The sequence below is a fragment of the Homo sapiens genome, chromosome 3 (assembly GCF_000001405.40).
Source record: "Homo sapiens chromosome 3, GRCh38.p14 Primary Assembly".
Taxonomy (NCBI): domain Eukaryota; kingdom Metazoa; phylum Chordata; class Mammalia; order Primates; family Hominidae; genus Homo; species Homo sapiens.
The window spans coordinates 173,416,050-173,437,143 of record NC_000003.12 but is presented as its reverse complement, the minus strand read 5'-3'; the positions used below and the strand labels follow the sequence as shown (position 1 = coordinate 173,437,143).

The 21,094-nt window shown below is 35.4% G+C and overlaps 1 protein-coding gene across 27 annotated transcripts in view; it reads right to left on the bottom strand.

Moving 5' to 3' along the window:
• Positions 1 to 21,094, bottom strand: part of NLGN1 (neuroligin 1) — an 898,421-nt gene that overhangs the window by 857,229 nt on the left and 20,098 nt on the right. For 5 of the 27 annotated variants that reach the window (NM_014932.5, XM_047447707.1, XM_047447702.1 and 2 more), the window contains exon 2: positions 2,066 to 2,134. The exons of the other annotated variants lie outside the window; for them this stretch is intronic. The gene's annotated coding sequence lies outside the window, so the exon portion shown is untranslated. The remainder of the gene's footprint in view (positions 1 to 2,065; positions 2,135 to 21,094) is intronic. 27 annotated transcript variants of the gene reach the window in all.

Here is a 21,094-nt window from a genome sequence, read left to right as displayed (position 1 = left end):
CTCAGGTTTCTCATCTTATTTCTACATCCAAAAATGGAATCTTGACAGTCAAATGTTTTATGTAGTGCTTCTTATTGCTAATGTCTGAGTCAGTCATGCAGGAATCAGAATCTACTTCAAGAAGTTTTAATAAGGATGACTTTAGATCTGGACAGGGTGAAGAAAAATAAAAAGGAACATTGCAGCACCAAGGGAATGACAATAGAAAGAGGTTATGACTGGCCTAAGGGCAAGAGAAAAATAGTGTTACTGGAGTACAGTTAGAGCTGGAGGCATAGAAAAAGGCCACCCAACCTGGGTCATAGTGATAAAAAGATGTAGTAACTGCTAGAAATCATGGCTTAGAGCAGGAAAGAATGGCGGGGATGGGGTTTTAACCCAAACTCTCTCTCTTACACTCTGTTCTCCTACCATTGTCTTGCATTTGTTGGATTTTTAAAAGAAGCCAACTATCAAGGGGGCCTGGGTGGATGTAACTTATAGAAGTCAAGGTTAGCTTCTCAAGGCATACAACAAGACAAAGAAGAGGAGAACATGGATCTGGCTGGGTTGAGTTACAGATAAAAACCTGTAGATATGGAATTAATGGGACACATAGTTAAACCACGCCTAAAATTAATGCTCTTGGTCACAAACACACAGTCTTCCCTATTTGACTTCCCTAATGTAAGGTCCTCAAATCATGACAGATGGGTCATGAGTGGTAGGAAATTAAGAGTTATTAAAACATGTTCCAGAACTCATGTGTGTGCCATACATTATTTGCCAAAGAATGGGAGCCACTAACCAGAATAAACAAAATTGTGTGAGGTGGAGCAGTCTTCCGTTTGTTTATAACTACTCTGAAATAATTTTAATATTGGGAAATATATTCTAGATGTTTCCTTCTTAGCATATTTGGATGGTGACAATGAAAAATTGTTTTGCTTTTAATGCTGGTCATTTAAAACTGATTTCTTAATTTCTTAGCAAAGGCTAAATAATCATTTCTGTCTTTTCTTCTCAACAAGTGCTGGGTTCACTCAGTGTTTGGTAAATTGATGTAAAAAGCGAGTTATAGACATGCTCTAATAACATACATCATGTGTTGTTTGATTTTGTTCTTGCGGCTGTAGGTTAATCAGTTTGGTTTGGGGTTTAGTTACAAAGAACAGAGAGTCAGTTTGATATCAGTGGTTCTTTCTGACCCAAAAGCCATTATTTCTTCTTTAAAATATTCTTCTCTCATTAAAAATGATGTCAGCCTTCCTTGTTGACTAAATGCATCGTATAGACTTTTACTAAAGTTTTCTTTCTTATTTTTTTTCTTTAAAGGGAGTCTTGCTCTGTTGCCCAGGATGGAGTGCAGTGGCATGATCTCAGCTCACTGCAGCCTCTGCCTCCCAGGTTCAAGCAATTCTCCCGCCTCAGCCTCCTTAGTAGCTGGGACTACAGGCGTGCACTGCCACGCCTGGCTAATTTTTGTATTTTTAGTAGAGATAAGGTTTCACCATGTTGGCTAGGATGGTCTTGATCTCCTGACCTCGTGATATGCCCCCACCTCAGTCTCCCAAAGTGCTGGGATTACAGGCGTGTGCCACCGCACCCAGCCTACATTTTTTTTTCTAAAAATGACTTTATTGAAGTGATTATAAATATCACAACATAACGCTTCCGTGAACATAAGATTTTCATATATGTGTGTGTATGTATATATCATCAAAAGAGAATCAAACTTTGTAACATAAAAACATTATATATTTAAGTGAAAATAATAGCTGAAAAAGGGAAAGAAATTTTCAAAAATAAAATCAGTTTTTCTATGGCAGGTTATGGGGGTAGAAGGAGAAAAAGTGTACACTCAAAGCATGGTTAAAGGATTATGCCAGCTTGTCAAAACTATACTGCATATTGTATGGCTAAAAGTATTAAAATTGTTCAACAGAAAAATCAATGGAACAAAAGAGGTAAGTCATGACTATGGTGGATGGTCAGGAAACAGAATTGCTGTTTTGCCGTGGGAGCTTTTGTTACTACTTTTCTAACACTTCAGTGATTGAAAGGAAATCAAACTGCGAGAACTTACTGCCACTCCAGTGAGCCCTGGGGGATTTGTCACAAATTTGGAACTTGAGTGGCCTCAAGCTTCACAGGTCTGCTCCTCAGAAGTGTCAGAAAGCAAAGAGAAAGCAGAGAATTAGTGACACGGAACTGAGCAACTACGTATTTTCAAATGGTGGGTGAATTTCAGGCCACCTTTTAAGTTTTACATTAGACCAAATGACCAAAAAATTTCCTCTAAAGCATGTGCTACACTTAGGAGTTTCCAACAACAACCATTATTTGGCAGCTATTCACAGATAATTCTGAACCTACTCTTGCCTAATAGAAAGCTTCTTAAACACTGAAAATTGGATAAATAACTACAAAATAGAGTGGCTTTATAACTCCTTTTAGACTATTTTATAGGGTGTCATTTTACTAAGAACCTCAGAAAGGACAGGAACATTCAAGGAACTTAGCTCTTGATCCTAGAGAGCTGGTGAACATCAACAGCTTATTCTGAAAGTAGATTGTAGAGAGTGCAATTGTCTCCAACTACATGATGTCCTGTATTCCCTGAATAATGATATAATCACTAGAAATAGTGTGTTTACTCTTTGTCTGCACTTTAAACAAAAGTATACTACTTGAAACATTTATTCAAATATTGTTTCACTCTAAATCAGTGTTTCTTAAGTGAGGCCCATGAATTGTAATCACCTGCAGTGTTTGATCAAAATGCAATTTCCTAGCCCCATTACCTGGTAATTCATATGCATGTTAAAATTTGAAAACCACTACTACAAAGAACTCATGTATTATATTAGGAATAAGAATATGAACATTAGAATCTACTTTGCTATACTTTTTGCTACTTTTAAAGATTTTATGAAAAAAGGAAACTTGAGAAAATATTTTGAGTAATTTGAATATGTCTAAACATTATCTGATATAAACTATAACACATAGTTGTAATTTTCTAATTCCCCACCTCTCCTGACCCCCACTTTCTAGTTAAGGATTTTGGATTAAAGTCGATTCTAGAATTCTGAATAATCATGTATTTTCTACTTCTACAGTCTGGAAGAAAAGAATCTAAGCTTAAATAGCAAGCAGTATTTTGGCTGATTCTTAAATACTTTTAAAAGGGCCTCACTCTTCTATATTTCATCATTTTATATAGTAAATCATAAACAAATCTTAATGCTAATTAATTAATGAATTTTTAGGGACACTTTTATTTAAGCAACTTGTTTCCCATAAATACTAATTATATAACCTAAGCCAGGAGCTTCTCAACTACCAAGAAGTATCAGTTCAAGGAAACTTCCATTACGCATAAAGTGATGGGACAACTGATGTTTTAGGAAGAGCTCAATTAAATAGATATAAGGAGGGAGCAAAATGATCAAGAGCTTGGTCGCTTATAAATTAAACACTCAACATACAAATAAAAACTTATCTATGTACCAGCAATAAAGGGAGAAAATAGAAAAAAGAAAATAAATATGCACCATACAAGCAAAAATATAAAATAGCTAGAAATCTAAGAAAGTTAACAATGAAATTATAAAGTTTACTGAGGGACATGAAAGATCAGGCCCTCTTCCCTTTTCCTTCTTTTTCCTTACTGAACATTAAGCTAAACTAACTGGGTAAGACAGAGAAAAGTAGGCATCCTAATAGGGGAGGGTTTTCATCCAAGATGGCCCAGAGAAAGGGATCAGAGCCTGAGCACTGTGAGGAGAGGTTTCAGACAGGGAGGGAACACTGTGGAGAGACAGGGGATTGGCAGAATGAGGAGGCATCCAAAGAGAGGCAAGTTCAGACATAGACTGTTCAACCCCAAACAGGATGAGGGTGCTCCTGCAGGAGGGCAGCCCAATAAGGAGCATCAGAGCCCAGGTGGGGTGCGGAGGACATCTGTCAGAGGAAGGCACAATGGCAGCAATGGGAGATTGGTTCAATACAGGGCAATCGGTCAAATAGGTAAATACCTTAAGAATAATAAAAGCCATGTTTCTCATTAACACAAAAATGTTGCAAATATGAAAAGGGAGAAAACTCTCTGTGGTGTTTGATTAGAATTTTAGGTATTAGTGCAAACTCATTATTTTTAATAGATAGAAAGATAGAGAAATATAAAGAGATATAAATTGGATGAATATATATTTCCTAACTCTGTCCACTGAGAGAGCCTGGGGGGAGTGGTTCCCACATAGTAATGAGGATACCCAGCACCCAAATCTTGGATTTAAATATCATTATCCTCTAAAAGGAAATGAGACTTCTAAAAGATAACAGGAAATAAACCTAGAGGACTTTGGGTTTGGCATTAACTTTTATACACAACAACAAAGGCACAATCCACAAAAGAAATAGTTGATAAGCTGTAATTGATTACAATAAAAAAAATGCAAAAGACACTACTAGAGAATGAGAAGACAAGCCACAGACTAGATGAAAATGATTATTAAAGACATATCTGATAAAAGATTCATCCAAAATATACAAGGAACTCTTAAAACTCAACAATAAAAAAATGAATAACCTGATTAAAAAATTGGCCAAAGTCCTTAGTAAACACCTCACCAAAGAAGTTATACAGATGTAAATAAGCACAGAAAAAGATGCTCCACATCCTATGTCATTAGAGAAATGCAACTTAAAACACTAACGAGGTACTTCTACACGGCTATTAGAAAGGGCAAAATCCAGAATGCTGACAACACTAAATGCTGGCAAGGAGGTGGAACAAAAGGAACTCTCATTCACTGCTAGTGAAAATACAAATGGTATAGCATCTTTGCAAGTCAGTTTTGTAATTTCTTACAGAAGTACTTATACTCGTACCCGATGATCCAGCCATCACACCCCCTGGTATTTCCACAAAGAAGTTGAAAACTTACGTCCATATAGAAACCTGCATACAGGTGTTTATAGCAGTTTTATCTATCATTTCCAAAATTTAGAAGAATCTAAGATGTTCTTCAGTAGGCTAATGGATAAACTGTTATGCATATTGACAAAGGAATATTATTTAGCACTAAAAAGAAATGAGCTATCAAGCCATGAAAAGACATGGAGGAACCTTACATGCATATTACTAAGTGAAAGAATTCAATATGAAATTGTTACCCACCATATGATTTCAGATATACGACATTTTTAAAAAGCCAAAACTATGGAAATAGTAAGAAGTTTGGTGGTTTCCAGGGGCTGGTGGGGAGGAAGATATAAATAGGCAGACCATAGAGCCCTAGAGGATTTTTAGAGCAGTGAAACTATTCTGCATGATACTATGATGATGGGCATATATCATGATACATTTATGGAATCCACTGACTGTACTACACCAACATTCATTCCTAATGAAAATTTGGATTTTGGATGATAATGATGTGTCAATGTGGATTCACTCTTCATAACAATGTACCACTCTGGTGTAGGATGCTGATAATAGAAGAGGATATGCAAGAATGAGGGCAGGGCATATATGGGAAATCTCTGCATCTTCCAATCAATTTTACTACAAATGTAAAATTGCTCTAAAAATTAAAGTACATATTATATATATATCCAAAAATCATGCAAAAAATTGATTACTGAATTTGAAAAAATGCTCACAGATACTGATTTCATCAGGTTTGTCAATATTTCATACAAATAAAAAGTTATATATGTACAAGAAAGATTTTGTATATTATATATGTGTGCTAGATTTGATAAGGAATAAAAAGAAATTGTTTGCTCCATATTTGCCCCAAACTACTCTTATTCCTAAAGAAACAAACTAAAATGTAGATTAAAAACCAAAAAAAGGAAACACAATTATCCTCGGAGAAATGGCTGGTTCAACAGCTAGGGAAGGAAAAGCACAAGATGAGCCAGGAACATCTTACTGGGCCAGAAGTCAAGAAAGTGCTTTCAGTATGATAGGGTTATGCTAAAAGTTCATGTGTTCCGCCCTAAAATGCTTCTACTAGTGAAATAGGGAAAGTTTTAGCATGAAAGAATAAAATGATAGTAATAAACTGTGACCCATTTAATGAAAATAGAATGAGTATATACTGATATAAATTAGTCAATTAATTAATTAAAAGTTAGCTAGGTATGATATATTACAAAGGGGAAAATAATACTGTCTTCATCTGTTTGTATTGCTGTAAGAAATATCTGAGGCTGGGTACTTTATAAAGAAAATATATTTGGCTCACAGTTCTCCAGGCTGTACAAGAAGCATGGTATCAGCATCTGCTTCTGGTGCTGCCAGGAAGTTTCTGCTCATGATAGAAAGCAAAGAGGAGCTGGTATGTAAAGATCACACGGTGGGAAGCAGAGAAGAAGAGATGCCAGACTGTTTTTAACAACTAGATGGCAAAGGAACTAAGAGTGAGAACTCATTTAATCTCATGAGAATGCCACTAAGCCATGAGGGCATATCCCTCATAACGCAAACACTTTCCACTAGGTCACACCTCCTATATTGGGGATAAAGTTTTAACAAGAGATTTAGAGCAGACAAATATCCAAATGATATCAGACAGCTTTACAGGGGAGAAGGCTGGCAGATACCACCTTAATCAAGAGCCACCTGATAGGACGCAGTAAGATAACAGCTTCACTTCTGTGACATTTTTCCAAAAGATACATCTTATAAAAGTAATCATGAAGAAATATCAGACAATTCCAAACTTAGAGACTATAAAACGACAGGTCTATAATCCTTAAAAGTGTCAAGAGAGTGATATTATCAAAATGGAGTAAGAGCAATCTGGCTTTACTCTCCCTCATAGAAAACCAAAATCAATTATCTAGGGCCAAGATTATCACCAGGGACATCCCAGAACTAAAAACTGAGGATGTGATGACTCCAGTTATCACAGCGAAATGAAAAACCGCAAGCAAGAGGTAAGAGAAACAAAAGCTTCTGGCCACAACACCCTCCCCTAAGCTGCCAGGCACTATGCAGAAAGGTTCTAGCAGATTCAGTTTTTACCCTGGAAAAAGTGAGATCAAGGAAGACAGACAGTTTCGTCACCAGTTAGGTTTCTTCACAGGAAAAACATTTCTGCTTGAATCCACAGGAAGCATCATAAATGCCCGTAGGGTGAAGGCTTCTAAGAGAAACTAGAGGCATAAAGCAGAGGTGTGGCTAGTACCAGCCAGGGCACAAAACTCAGCAGCTATTCTTCATCTCTGTCAAAGGAGATGCCAAATCACTGAATCTGTTCAGCAGCAACATGCTTTAGGGGAGGTACTTCAGGGGCCCTGTGGGCATAACCCTTAGCCACCTTTCCCACACAGCGGGGATATACACTTTAGGATTCCCCCAGCCCCAATCTGGGATGGGCAGCACTCTCAAGTTATTTGCAGGAACTGTGGCAAATCTGAGCAAGGGTGTCATCTAGTGCAGAAAAGGAGGCAGTGTTCTTGGGCTGAGGGTACTCAAAAATCAACTGGCACAGGACTTCTAGTCATACATACTCTAGAAAGACCAAACCAAGGCAGACAGCAAAGACTGAAATAAATAACTAAACCTTGAAAGCAAAGACATAGACATACATCCATAAGAAACAAAAGCAAACAGGTAGCCATGACCTCCACGAAAAGACAAAAAAGAAGCCAATGTCTGACCCTAAGAATATGGTGATTTTTTACCTCTCAGATCAACTATTCAAAACAGTAGTTTTGAGGAAACTCAGTGAACTCCAAGATAACACAGTAAATCGGTGCAGAAATTTATTCAGATAAATTTAACAAAAAGAATAAAATAATAAAAGATAAACAGAAATCCTGGAGCTGAGAAATACAACGGCTAGATAGAAAAATACATTAGAGGTTATTGCCAGCAAAACTGATTAAACAAAAGAATCAGAGAGTATGAAGACAGGCTGTTTGAAAATACACAGTCAGAGGACAGAAAAAAAGAATGAAAAAGAAAAAAGAATGTCTATAAGATCTAGAGGATAGCCTCAACAGAGCAAATCTAATAGCCGTCGACCGCCAGGAGGGAGTTGAGAAATAGCAAGGTGTAGAAAACTTATTTAAAAAATAGTAAGAGAAAATATTGCAAACTTAGAGAAAGATTATCCAGATACTAAAAGGTCAAAGATCACTAACCTGATTCAACCCAAATAAGACTACTCCAAAGCATATAATAATCAAATTTTCAAAGGCCAAACACAAAAAGAGGATTGTAAAAGCAGCAAAACAAAAGAAACAACATATAAAGGAGCTCTAATTAAAGACATTTCCAGACACACAAAAGCTAAGGAAATTCATCACCACCAGACTGAGCTTATAAGAAATGCTAAAGGGAGTTATTCAATATGAAAAAAAAAGAATGTTAATGTGCAAAATGAAAACATCTGAAAGTATAAAACAATGGAAAAGGCAAGAACAAATACAAATGCAGAATACTCTAAACTTGTGATGTATCAACCACTTATACCTTTAGTATGAGGACTAAAAGACAAATTTATCAAAAATAATTACATAATTTCTTAAGAGATAGGAATATATAAAGATAAAAATTGAGACAAAAAAGGTCAAAATGTGGGGAAATTGAATCATTTTTTTCTTTTATTTGAGTCAAAGTTAAGTTGCCATCAGTTTAAGTTGTTATATCCATAAAATATTTTGTAAGCCTTATGGTAATCATAAATCAAAAATACAGATATGTTAAAAATAAAAAGTAAGAAATTAAATAAAACATACTACCAGAAAAAAACACTTAGCCAAAAAAAGACAGTAGAAAAGAAAAAAAGGGAGAACTTACAATACAACCAGAAAATCAGAAACAAAATGGTAGTAGTAAGTCCTCACCTATCAATAATAACACTGAATGTAATAAACTAAATTATGCAACTGAAAGAACAAGACCCAATCATATGCTGCCTACAGGAAACTCACTTCACCTATAAAGATAAACATAGACTAAAAGTGAAGGAGAAAAAAAAGATTCCATACAAATGGAAACCATAAAAAAGCAGTAGCTAAACTTATATCAGATAAAATAGACTTCAAGTCCAAAACTATCAAGAGACAAAGAAGGTCATTATATAATAATAAGTGGGTCAATATAACAGGAGCATATAGCAATTATAAATACATATGTACTCCAACACTGGATCACAAAAATATATAAAGCAAATATTAATAAATATAAAGAAAGAGACAGACTGTAACACAGTAATAATAGGAGACATTAGTGCCCCTCTTTAAGCAATGAACAAGTCCTCCAGACAGAAACTCAACCAAAAAAAAAAAAAAATAGAGTTTCCAGACCAAAAAGACTTAACTGATATTTACAGAATATTTCAACAAACTACTGAAGAATACATATTATTTTCATCAGCCTATTGAACTTCTCCAGGATAGACCATATCTTAGGCCACAAAGCAAGTCTGAACAAATTCAAAAGAGTAGAAATCATATCAAGTATCTTTTCTGACCACAATGGAATAAAACTAGAAATTAATAACAAAAGGAGACCTTGGAAATTGCACAGATACATGAAAATTAAACAACATGGCCTTGAAAAACCAATGGGTCAATGAACACATTGCAAAGAAAATTTTGAAATTCCTTGAAACAAATGAAAATGGAAACACTACATACCAAAACCTATGCAGTATAGCAAAAGTAGTACTAAGAAAAAAGTTTACAGCAATAAATGCTTACATTGAAAAAGAAAAAAGACTTCTAAAACTCAACCTAACTATGCATCTAAAGGAAATAGAAAAGCATGAACAATCCAAACTGAAAATTCATAGAAGGAAAAATACTAACAATCAGAGCAAAAGTAAATGAAATTGAGATGAAAAAGAAAATAGAAAAATAATCAACAAAATAGAAAGCTGTTTGAGAAGATAAACAAAATGGATAAACCTTAGTGTGACTAATTAAGAAAAACAAAGACCCAAGTAATATCAGAGATGAAAAATGAAACATTACAACTGATACCACAGAAATATAAAGGATTATTGGAGATTATTGTGAAGAACCATACACCAACAAATTAGAAAATTTAGAAGACATGAATAAATTCTTAGAAGCATACAATCTTACAAGATTGAATCATGAGGAAATAGAAAAACTGGACAGCCCATTAAGTAATGAGGTTGAATCAGTAATTTTAAAAATCTCCACAAAGAAAGTCCGTAACCAGATAATTTCATTGCTAAGTTTTACCAAACTTTTAAAGAAAATATAATACTGATTTTCCTCAAACTAATCCAAAAAATTTGAAGAGGAAAGAACTCTTTCAAACTCATTCTATGAGTTCAACATTACCCTGAAACCAAAACCAGACAAGGGCACAACAAAAAGGCAAATTGGAAGCCAATATCCCTGATGAACACAGATGCAGAAATCCTCAACAAAATTTTAGCAAACTGAATCCAACAGCATATCAAAAAGATTATTCATCATGATCAAGCAAGATTTATCCCAGGGATGCAAGAATGGTTCAATAAATAAATAAATAAATAAATGTGCTATAGCACATGAACAGACTGAAGGACAAAAACCTATTATTTCAATGAATGCAGAAAAAGCATTTGATAAAATGTAGCATCTGTTCATAATAAAAACTCTCAACAAATATAGAAAAAAACATACCCCAAAACATTAAAGGCTGTATATGACAAACCCATAGCTAACATCATGCTGAATGGGGAAAATTTGAAAAACTTTATTGTCAAATTTGGAAAACGAAAAAGATACCTAGTTTCATCACTTTTATTCAACATCATAGCAGAAGTCTTAGCTAGAGCAATTAGGTAACAGAAAGGAAAAAAAAGGCATGCAAATGAAAAAGGAAGAAGTCAAATTGTCCTTGTTTGCAGATGACATAATCTTATACTTAGAAAAACCTAGAGTCCACCAAAAACCTGTTAGAACTAACAAACTAATTCAATGAAGTTGCAAAATATAATACTAAATCATGACACAAACAAACAGTAGTATTTCTATATTCCAACAGTGAACAATCTGTAAGAAATCAAGAAGGTAATTCCATTTATAATAGTTACAAAAAAATAAAATACCTAGGAATAAATTTCACCAAAGAGGTGAGACAGCTCTGCCATAAAAACTATAAAATACTGAAGAATGAAATTAAAAATGACACACAAAAAATTAAAAGACATATCATGTTCCTGGAGAAAAATAATATTGTTAAAATGTCCATACTACCCAAAGTGATCTACAATGTCAATGCAATTCCTATCAAAATAACAATGATATTTTTCACAGATTTAGAAAAAAATTTCTTAAAATTTGCATGGAACTACAAAGAACCCCAAATAGTCAAAGTAGTCCTGAGCAAAAAGAACAAAGCTAGAGGCATTATAATACCTGACTTCAAAGTATACTACAAGGCTATAGTAACTAAAACAGCATGATATTGGCATAAAAACACAAAAACTAATGGAATAGCACAGAGAACTCAGAAATAAGTCTATGCATTTACAGCCAACTCATTTTCAACCAAGACACCAAGAACATAAACGGACAGTCTCTTCAATAGATAATCCTGGTAAAACTGGATATCCATATGCAGAAGAATGGAAATAGAACCTTGTCTCTCACCATATACAGAAATCACTCAAAATGAATTAAAGACTTAAATGTAAGACCTGAAACTATGAATCTATTAGAAAAAACACTGGGAAAACATTTTAGGACATTAATCTGGACAATGATTTTTTTGGGTAACACAGGTGACAAATGAGATTCTATAAAGATTTTATAAAAAAAAAAGCCTCTGCATAGCAAAGAAAAAAACCAATAGAGTGAAGAGGTCATCTACAGAATGGTAAACTGATGTGGTTTGGCTCTGTGTCTCCACCCAAATCTCATCGTGAATTGTAATCCCCACATGCTGAAGGAGGGACCTGCTGGTAGGCGATTAGATCATGGGAACAGTTTCCCCTTGCTGTTCTCATGATAGTAAAGGAGTTCTCACAAGATCTGATGGTTTTAAGTGTGGCACTTCCTCGCTCTTCTCTCTCTCTCTCCTGCCACCTTCTGAAGAAGGTACTTGCTTCTCCTTCACCTTCCACCACAATTGTAAGTTTCCTGAGGCCCCCCAGCTGTATGGAACTGTGAGTCAATTAAGCCTCTTTCTTTTATAAGTTACCCAGTCTCAGGTAGTATCTTTATAGAAGTGTGAGAATGGACTAATACAGAGAATTGGTATTGGCAAAGTGGAGTACTGCCACAAAGATAACCTGAAATGTGGAAGTGATTTTGGAACTGGGTAACAGGCAGAGGTTGGAACCGTTTGTAGGGCTCAGCAGAAGGCAGGAGGATATGGGAAAGTCTGGAACTTCCTAGAGACTTGTTGAATAGTTTTGACTAAAATGCTGATAGCGATATGAAAAATGAAGTCTAGGCTGAGGTGGTCTCAGAAGGAGATAAGGAACTTTTTGGGAACTGGAGTAAAGGTCACTCATGCTATGCTTTAGCAAAGAGACTGGCGGTATTTTGCCCCTGCCCTAGACATCTGTGGAACTTTAAACTTGAAAGAGATGATTTAGGGTATCTGCTGGAAGAAATTTCTAAGCAGCAGTGTTCAAGAGAGAACGTGAATTATTCTGAAAGCTTTCAGTTATATATGATCACAAAGAGATGGTTTGAAATTAGAACTTAGTTTAAAAGGGAAGCAGAGTATAAAGGTTTGGAAAATTTGCAGCCTGACCATGTGGTAGAAAAGAAAAACCCATTTCCTGGGAAGGAATTTGAGCCAAGCTGACTGCAGAAATTTGCTCAAGTAAGGAGGAGCTGAATGTTATTAGCAAAGACAATGGGGAAAATGTCCCCAGGGCATGTCAGAGACCTTCAGAGCAGCCCCTCCCATGACAGACCCAGAGGCCTAGGAGGGAAAAATGGCTTCACAGGCCGGGCCCAGGGCCCAGTGGATCCGTGCAGCTTCAGAACTTAGTGCCCTGCATTCCAGCTGCTCCAGCTCCAGCTGTGGCTAAAAGGGGCCAAGGTTACAGCTGAGGCAATTGCTTCAGAGGATGTGAGCCCCAAGCTTGGTGGCTTCCACATGGTGTTCAGCTTCCACATGGTGTTCAGCTTGTGGGTGCACACAAGACAAGAGCTGAGCTTCAGGAGCCTCTGCCTAGATTTCAGAGGATGTATAAAAATGCCTCGATGTCCAGGGAGAAGTCTGCTGCAGTGGAGTCCTCGTGGAGAACCTCTGCTACGGAAGTGCGGAAGGGAAATGTGGGGCTGGAGTCCCAACACAGTCTCCACTGGGGCACTGCCTAGTGGAGCTGTGAGAAGAGGGCCACCACCCTCTAGACCCCAGAAAGGGAGATCTGCCAACAGCTTGCATTATCCACCTGGAAAAGCTGCAGTCACTCAACACCAGCTTGTGAAAGCAGCCACAGGGGTTGTACCCTGCAGTCACAGGAACAGGGCTGACCAAGGCTGTGGGAGCCCACTGCTTGCATTAGTGTGCCCTGGATGTGAGACATGGAGCCAAAAGAGATTTTGGAGCTTCAAGATTTAATGGTTACCCTGCTGGATTTTGGACTTTCAAGGGGCCTATGTCCCCTTTTTTTTTGGTCAATTTTTCCCAATTTGGAATGGGAACATTTATCCAAAGCCCACACCTCCATTGTATCTTGGAGGTAACTAACTTGCTTTTGATTTGACAGGCTCATAGGCAGGAGGGACTTGCCTTGTCTCAGATAAGGCTTTGGACTTGGACTTTTGAGTTAATGCCGGAATGAGTTAAGTCTTTGGGGGACTGTTAGGAAGGCATTATTGATTTTGAAATGTGAAAAGGACATGGGATTTGGGAGGAGCCAAGGGCAGAATGATATGGTTTGGCTCTGTGTCTCCACCTAAATCTAATCTCAAATTGTAATCCCAATGTATTGAGGGAAGGGCCTGCTGGGAGGTGATTAGATCACAGGGGCAGTTTCCCACATGCTGTTCTTGTGATAGTGAGAGAGTTCTCGTGAGATCTGATGGTTTAAAGTGTGGCACTTCCTCAATCTCTCTCTCTCTCTCCTGCTGCCTTGTGGAGAAGCTCCTTGCTTCTCCTTCGCCCTCTACCATGATTGTAAGTTTCCTGAGGCCTCCCCAGCCATGCAGAATTGTGAGTCAGTTAAAGGACTGACAATAAAGTCAGGAAAGAATTCCTTTATAAATTACGTAGTCTCAGATAGTATCTTTATAGCAGTGTGAGAATGGACTAATACAGAAAAAATACTTGCAGTTTATCCATCTGACAAGGAATCAATAACTTGCATCTATAACAACCTCAACTCAACAGCAAAAATTAAATCTGATGTAAAAACAGACAAATGGTCTAGATAGATATTTCTAAAAAGAAGACATACAAATGTCAAACAAGTATATAAAAAGTGTTCAACATTACTAATCATCAGAGAAATACAAATCAAAACTGCAATGAGATATAATTTCATCCCAGTTAAAATGGCTATGATCAAAAAGACAAAAAAATAACAGATGCTGGCAAGGAGAAAGAGGAAGGTTTGTAAACTGATTATGGGAATGTAAATTAGTACAGCCATTATAGAAAAACAGTATAATAGTTCCTCAAAAAAACAAAAATAAAAATACCATATGACCTGGCAATCTTACTGCTGGGTATATCCAAAAGGAAATCAAATCGAAGTGATATTTATATTTCTATGTTTATTGTAGTGCTATTCATAGCAGCTAAGGTATGGAGTCAGGATTGCTAGATCATATAGTATTTTTATTTTCACAGCCTCCGGTAACCGCCATTCTACTCTCTACCTCCTTGAGATAAACTTTTTAGCTCTCACGTATGAGTAAGTACATGTGATATTTGTCTTTCTGTGCCTGGCTTATTTCAATTAGCATAATGTCTTCCAAGTTCATTCATGTTGCTGCATATGACAAGAATTCCTTCTTTTTATAGCTGAATAGTATTCCATTGTGTGTATGTGTGTGTGTGTGTGTATATATAGTGTACTATATATAGTACACATACACACATATATATCACATATATATACACACATATATATATCATGATAAGTGTTTGAGTTTATTTGTTTGAGATAATAAATGTCTGCATTTGATGGATAACCAAATTATTCTGATTTGATCATTAAACATTGTATATATGTATCAAAATATTATGGGTATCCTATTAATATGTAAAATCGTTATGTATCAATTAAAAAGTGTTGAGGTATAAAATCAAAGAATGACTAAGACACTATATCAGACTGAAGAAGCCTAACGAGACATAGCAACTAAAAACAAAACATAATTCTAAACTGGGCCAGGTGTGGTAGCTCATGTCTATAATCCTAGCACTTTAGGAGGCTGAGGCGGGAGGATCACTTGAGCCCAGGAGTTTAAGACCAGCCTGAGGCAACACGCCAAAACCCTGTCTCTACAAAAAATACAAAATTTATCCCGGCATGATGGTGCACACCTGTAATCCCAGTCTTCTGCCTCAGTCTGTAGTCCCAGACTGAGGCAGAAGAACTGCTTGAGCCCAGGAGGCAGAGGTTGCAAAGAGCTGAGATTGCACCACTGCACTCCAGCCTGCGTGACAGAGACCCTGTCTCAAATAATAATAAAAATAATTATTATTATAAAATTGATCCTTTTTCTATAATGGACTTTGTTGGAATACCTGAGAAAAACTGAAAAGGGTCTAAGGATTAGATGGGATAACATACCAATGTTAATTCCTAATTTTGATGGCAATTGTAATTAGGAAGGAGAATATCCTTATTTGTAAAAAATGTACACTAACGTATTTGAAGGAAAGATGGGCAACTTACTTTTAAATGGCTTTAAAAATAGACACTTGTACTCTTGCAAATTCTAATTTTAAGACTACATCCAAATAAATAACTTTTCTAGGCATTTAAGATTATTTCAAAATAAAAAGTATATAATAAAAATGATTTTTAAAAAATTTGAGAAATAGACTAGAGTCCTGATTCTGAAAATCAAGAGTGTGAGGTTATTTAACATTTCCTTACTAATTTATAACAATTGTATTATTATTTTTAACTTGATGAATATTTTACAATACACTTAGAAGAAACACAGTAGACAGAATAGTAAGAAAATATCTGAAAAAAGAAGAGTAATTAATGCACAGGGCTTGTACTACCTGATATTAGAAAAGTATTAGAAATATACAATAAATTAAAACAATGTAGCATTTTCACCCAATAAGCAGAGCAATGGCAATGAATAGAAAGTCCAGAAGATTCAACTATGTGTAAAAATTTTGTACATGAAAAAGTACACATATCAAATTAGTGTGGAAAGATAGGCTCTTCAATACTATCATTTTTAGGGTACAATCTTTTGGCTTCCCTGGGCCACACCGGAAGAAGAAGAATTGTCTTGGGCCACACATAAAATATAGTAACACTACACTGTTGGTGGGACTGTAAACTAGTTCAACCATTGTGGAAGTCGGTGTGGCAATTCCTCAGGGATCTAGAACTAGAAATACCATTTGACCCAGTCATCCCATTACTGGGTATATACCCAGAGGATTATAAAATCATGCTGCTATAAAGACACATGCACACGTATGTTTATTGCGGCACTATTCACAATAGCATAGACTTGGAACCAACCCAAATGTCCAACAATGATAGACTGGATTAAGAAAATGTGGCACATATACACCATGGAATACTTTGCAGCCATAAAAAATGATGAGTTCATGTCCTTTGTAGGGACATGGATGAAGCTGGAAACCATCATTCTCAGCAAACTATCGCAAGGACAAAAAAACCAAACACCGCATGTTCTCACTCATAGGCGGGAATTGAACAATGAGAACACATGGACACAGGAAGGGGAACATCACACACCGGGGACTGTTGTGGGGTGGGAGGAGTGGGGAGGGACAGCATTAGGAGATATACTTAATGCTAAATGACAAGTTAATGGGTGCAGCACACCAACATGGCACATGTATACATATGTAACAAACCTGCACGTTGTGCACATGTACCCTAAAACTTAAAGTATAATAATAATAATAATGAAAAAAAAAAGAAAAAAGATCTATCAAGCAAATGGAAAACAAAAAAGGTCAGGGGTCACTATTATTTTATTTTACTTTATTTTATTTTATTTTATTTTATTTTTGAGACTGAGTCTCTCTGTGTCGCCAGGCTGGAGTGCAATGGTGCGATCTCGGCTTACTGCAACTTCTGCCTCCTGGGTTCAAGCAATTCTCCTGCCTCAGCCTGCTGAGTAGCTGGGACTACAGGCACACACTACCACGCCCAGCTAATTTTTGTATTTTTACCAGATAGAGATGGGGTTTCACCATGTTGGCCAGGATGGTCTTGATCTCTTGACCTCTTGATCCACCCACCTTGGCCTCCCAAAGTGCTGGGATTACAGGCATGAGCCACCACGCCCAACCAGGGGTCACTATTATATCAGATAAAACAGACTTTGAATCAGACAACAGAGCCAGGCACAGTGGCTCATGCCTATAATCCCTGAGCTTTGAGAGGCTGAAATATGACAGAGCAGGAGTATCACCATCTTGCACAAGCACTGTTATTTTCCAATTCACATTAATCAAAAACTGCCTAAATCCAAAGGGCATCAGCCTAAATGGCTAAGATCAGCATGATCATAAACAAAAAAAAATCTCCGACCAGAAACATTCCAAATTCCTCTGCAACCAGAGACATGCTAGCTGCCCCCCTCCAGCTGGGAAGATGCCAGCCCCGAGATAACCCCCTTCCTGCTGGAAAGATGTCAGCCCCAAGATAATCCCCCCTTCACCCAGAGACATTCCAACCTCACCATAAACTTCTCCCCTACACATACACATTCCAAGCTTGTGATAAGCCCCCTCACCCTAAAACCAATGTATACTCATGTACTTTGTCTGTAAGAGAAAGCGCTCCTGATTGAAATCAGCCAGAAGCCCTTCTCAGGTTTTATCGAAAGTAAACCTGTCTTTAACTGCCAAAAAAAAAAAATCGATATATATAGATAGATAGATAGATATAGACATATACTAACACTAATGATGGCTGATGAGCAAAAAAAAAAAAAAAAAAAAAAAAAAAAAAAAAAGAAGAAGAAGAAAGCTAAAGAACAGAAAGGAAACTGCAAAAAAAAAAAATCATCATATTTTAAGGAAGTTTACAAATTTGTGATGGGCCACATTCAAAGCCATCCTGGACCCCATGTGGCCCAGGGCCTGTGAGTTGGACAAGTTTGGTTTAGATCCTTATATCATACTTAATAACAAAACACATTTTGGATGAAAAACATGTAATTGTAAAAACTCAAGACATAAAGCTATCTAAAGAACATATGGGTTAATATGTACATAATTTGGCTTCTCAGAATCTAAGCTTGATGTTAAAGAAAGAAACAGTAACAAAGATCTATAGCTGTGTTTACATAAACAGAATAAATGGACAGTAGATTAGAAAAATTAGATGAAATCTCAAAGATGAAAATCATTTGGCAAATACATATTTTTATAGTTTTATATCATTAGCTATCAAAGACTTGCCAATTTATACAATGAGAAGAAAGATCATACCTATTGGATTGGAAAATATCAAAAAGAATGTAATATCTGTATTGCACAGGGCACAACGAACTTCTGCCTGAGACATTTCACTGGGCTATGACCTTTATGGAAGGCACCTTAGGAATATACATTGAAATAATTTAAAGTGTGCATATCTTTAAACCCAAGAATTCATGATCAATAATTTATCCTAAGAAAATAATCAAACTGTGCATTGAAATATGCAGTTCATAGTTAACAGAAAAAAGAAATGAAAGCAAAAAAAAATTCAAGCAATAAATTGTTAAATTATAGTATACAATAATATTACATTGTATACTAATTATATCTTAAAATTATAATAATTACATCTTCCAATTATATTATAATTATGCCTTCTAATATTTCACATATTAATATGTGAAAGAAATGTATGACAGAGCATTAAAATACCATCTTTGTTATATATACTTATTATATTTTATTTATGTATATATACTTTCAAATAATATGCACACACACATAAACAAATAAAAAGAAAGAGAATGGATGAATAAAAGGAGCTACCTTGTGATGACAGAATTCTGTTTTTTTCTTCCTATCTGCTCAATTGTTTTTTTTCTCATTATTAAGATGAGTATTTGTTTAATAAAAGTAATAAAAGCCACAAAATTTTATGAGTAAAACTTAGTCTGAGAAGAATAGGGAGGCAGAAAGTTTACATAAAAGTTTAGTTTAAGAAGAAACACCTAAAAAACATAGTTAATTTAATATTTCATATTGTGCATTCATTCCCTTTATGTTTTGTATTACAATATCTGTTACACAAGTTACATGTACAAGAACTATTTATAAGTTACAAAATAATTGTATAACTGATAGAGACCCAAACATCATTATCTTTGAAATTGCAAGTTATTGTTGCAAGCAATGTTATTGAATTATTGCATTTCTGTGTGGTGTATGATAATTAAGCAACTCAAAATAATTCCTATTAGTGTCTGATACATATTTTCTAAGAGTGTTTAAATCCACATAATGATAGCAAAATATGAATTGCTAATTTTATAAAGAAAATTATTGTTTCCATTAAAGTAAAAATGCTTATATGATTCAGATAATTAAGCAAAATAGAAAATCACTATTTTTTGTAAATAGATTATTTAGAGAATTAAGTTCAAGTATCACATACCAAGACATTTTAAAAATAGTTTTAATCAGTGAGCTTTTAAAATTACTTAATTCTATAGTCTTAAAATTGAAAAAGACCATTTAAAAAAGATAATCAGAAAATTTATGTTTAATTCATTTCTACTTCTACGAACTCTCTTGAACTTCTATAGTATATTTAAGTTTAATGGCATGAATAACTAATTACAAATGTAATTTGCGACACCATAGATATTACCTTGAGACATGGAAGAATATGTCAAATGTAATATCTAATACAAAAAAGGTAGATCATTTTCTATGAAAAAAATAACATGCATTATTAATTCCAAGTAATGGATTTCCAGGTTTACCAGTTTGTACTCTCAAGAGGTTTCAATTTTATAATTGCAAGAGCACATATTTCCATTATTGAACATAAGAGTTGAATTCATACAGACAGATGAATATTACAGTTTGATCATGGTATCATAAAGATTTATTTTATATGAACTTTCAAAAACATTATTTGTAGAAGATCTCAGAATAAATACTTGGGTTTCTTTATATGTCTCTCAAAATACATTAGACTCACTTTAACTATATATATTAAAGTGATGAAATCTTTGTGCTTGGGCCATATCAGTATCCATTTAATCATATCAAATTCTAAAGAATACAAATATTATTTGCAACTATATGTCTCCCACCTCTTCTTTCGAATCTTGATGCTCACATGCTTTGGAATGATATCTAAGTAAGAAATTAACACATTGTTTTGTAGGTATATTTTTGCATGTCTTTTACCAGAAAAAGCCTCAGGATTACATGTAGTAGGGGTCAGCTTTGTGATCAAAGCAATATTTTCTGAACTAACTGAAACACGGAGTCTTTTAGAAAATAGAAAGCAAAAGAAATATGAGTTAGGGAAAACAACTCACACAGTGAAATTCATGGGAAGACGCTGCTCCTGGTTGCCTGTTTTTCCTTTGGCCCTTCAGGGCCATTTCTGAAAGCTGAGTTATCACCAAAAGAACAGAATGAAATCATTCCAATGAGGTGCTGCATATTCTGCATATACTATCTCATTAAACCCTCTCATTCTATGAGGAAGATATTATCTCTATTTTGCAAATGAAGAAATGAGGCTTAGAGGGATAAGGAGCTTGCATGAGGTTATTCAGTTTAGAAGTCTGGGCAATGGAATGCATATATTGAGCATCTATGCTCACTCCTTTGGTGGTGTAATCTAATCTCATGGCTTAAATACCATCTATATGTCAACAAGTATAATGTAAGTGATGTAAGTGTTATATAGAAACAAAGTGCTTGAGCTTCAAGGTCCTTATCTGTGACGCTCATGAATCTATCATT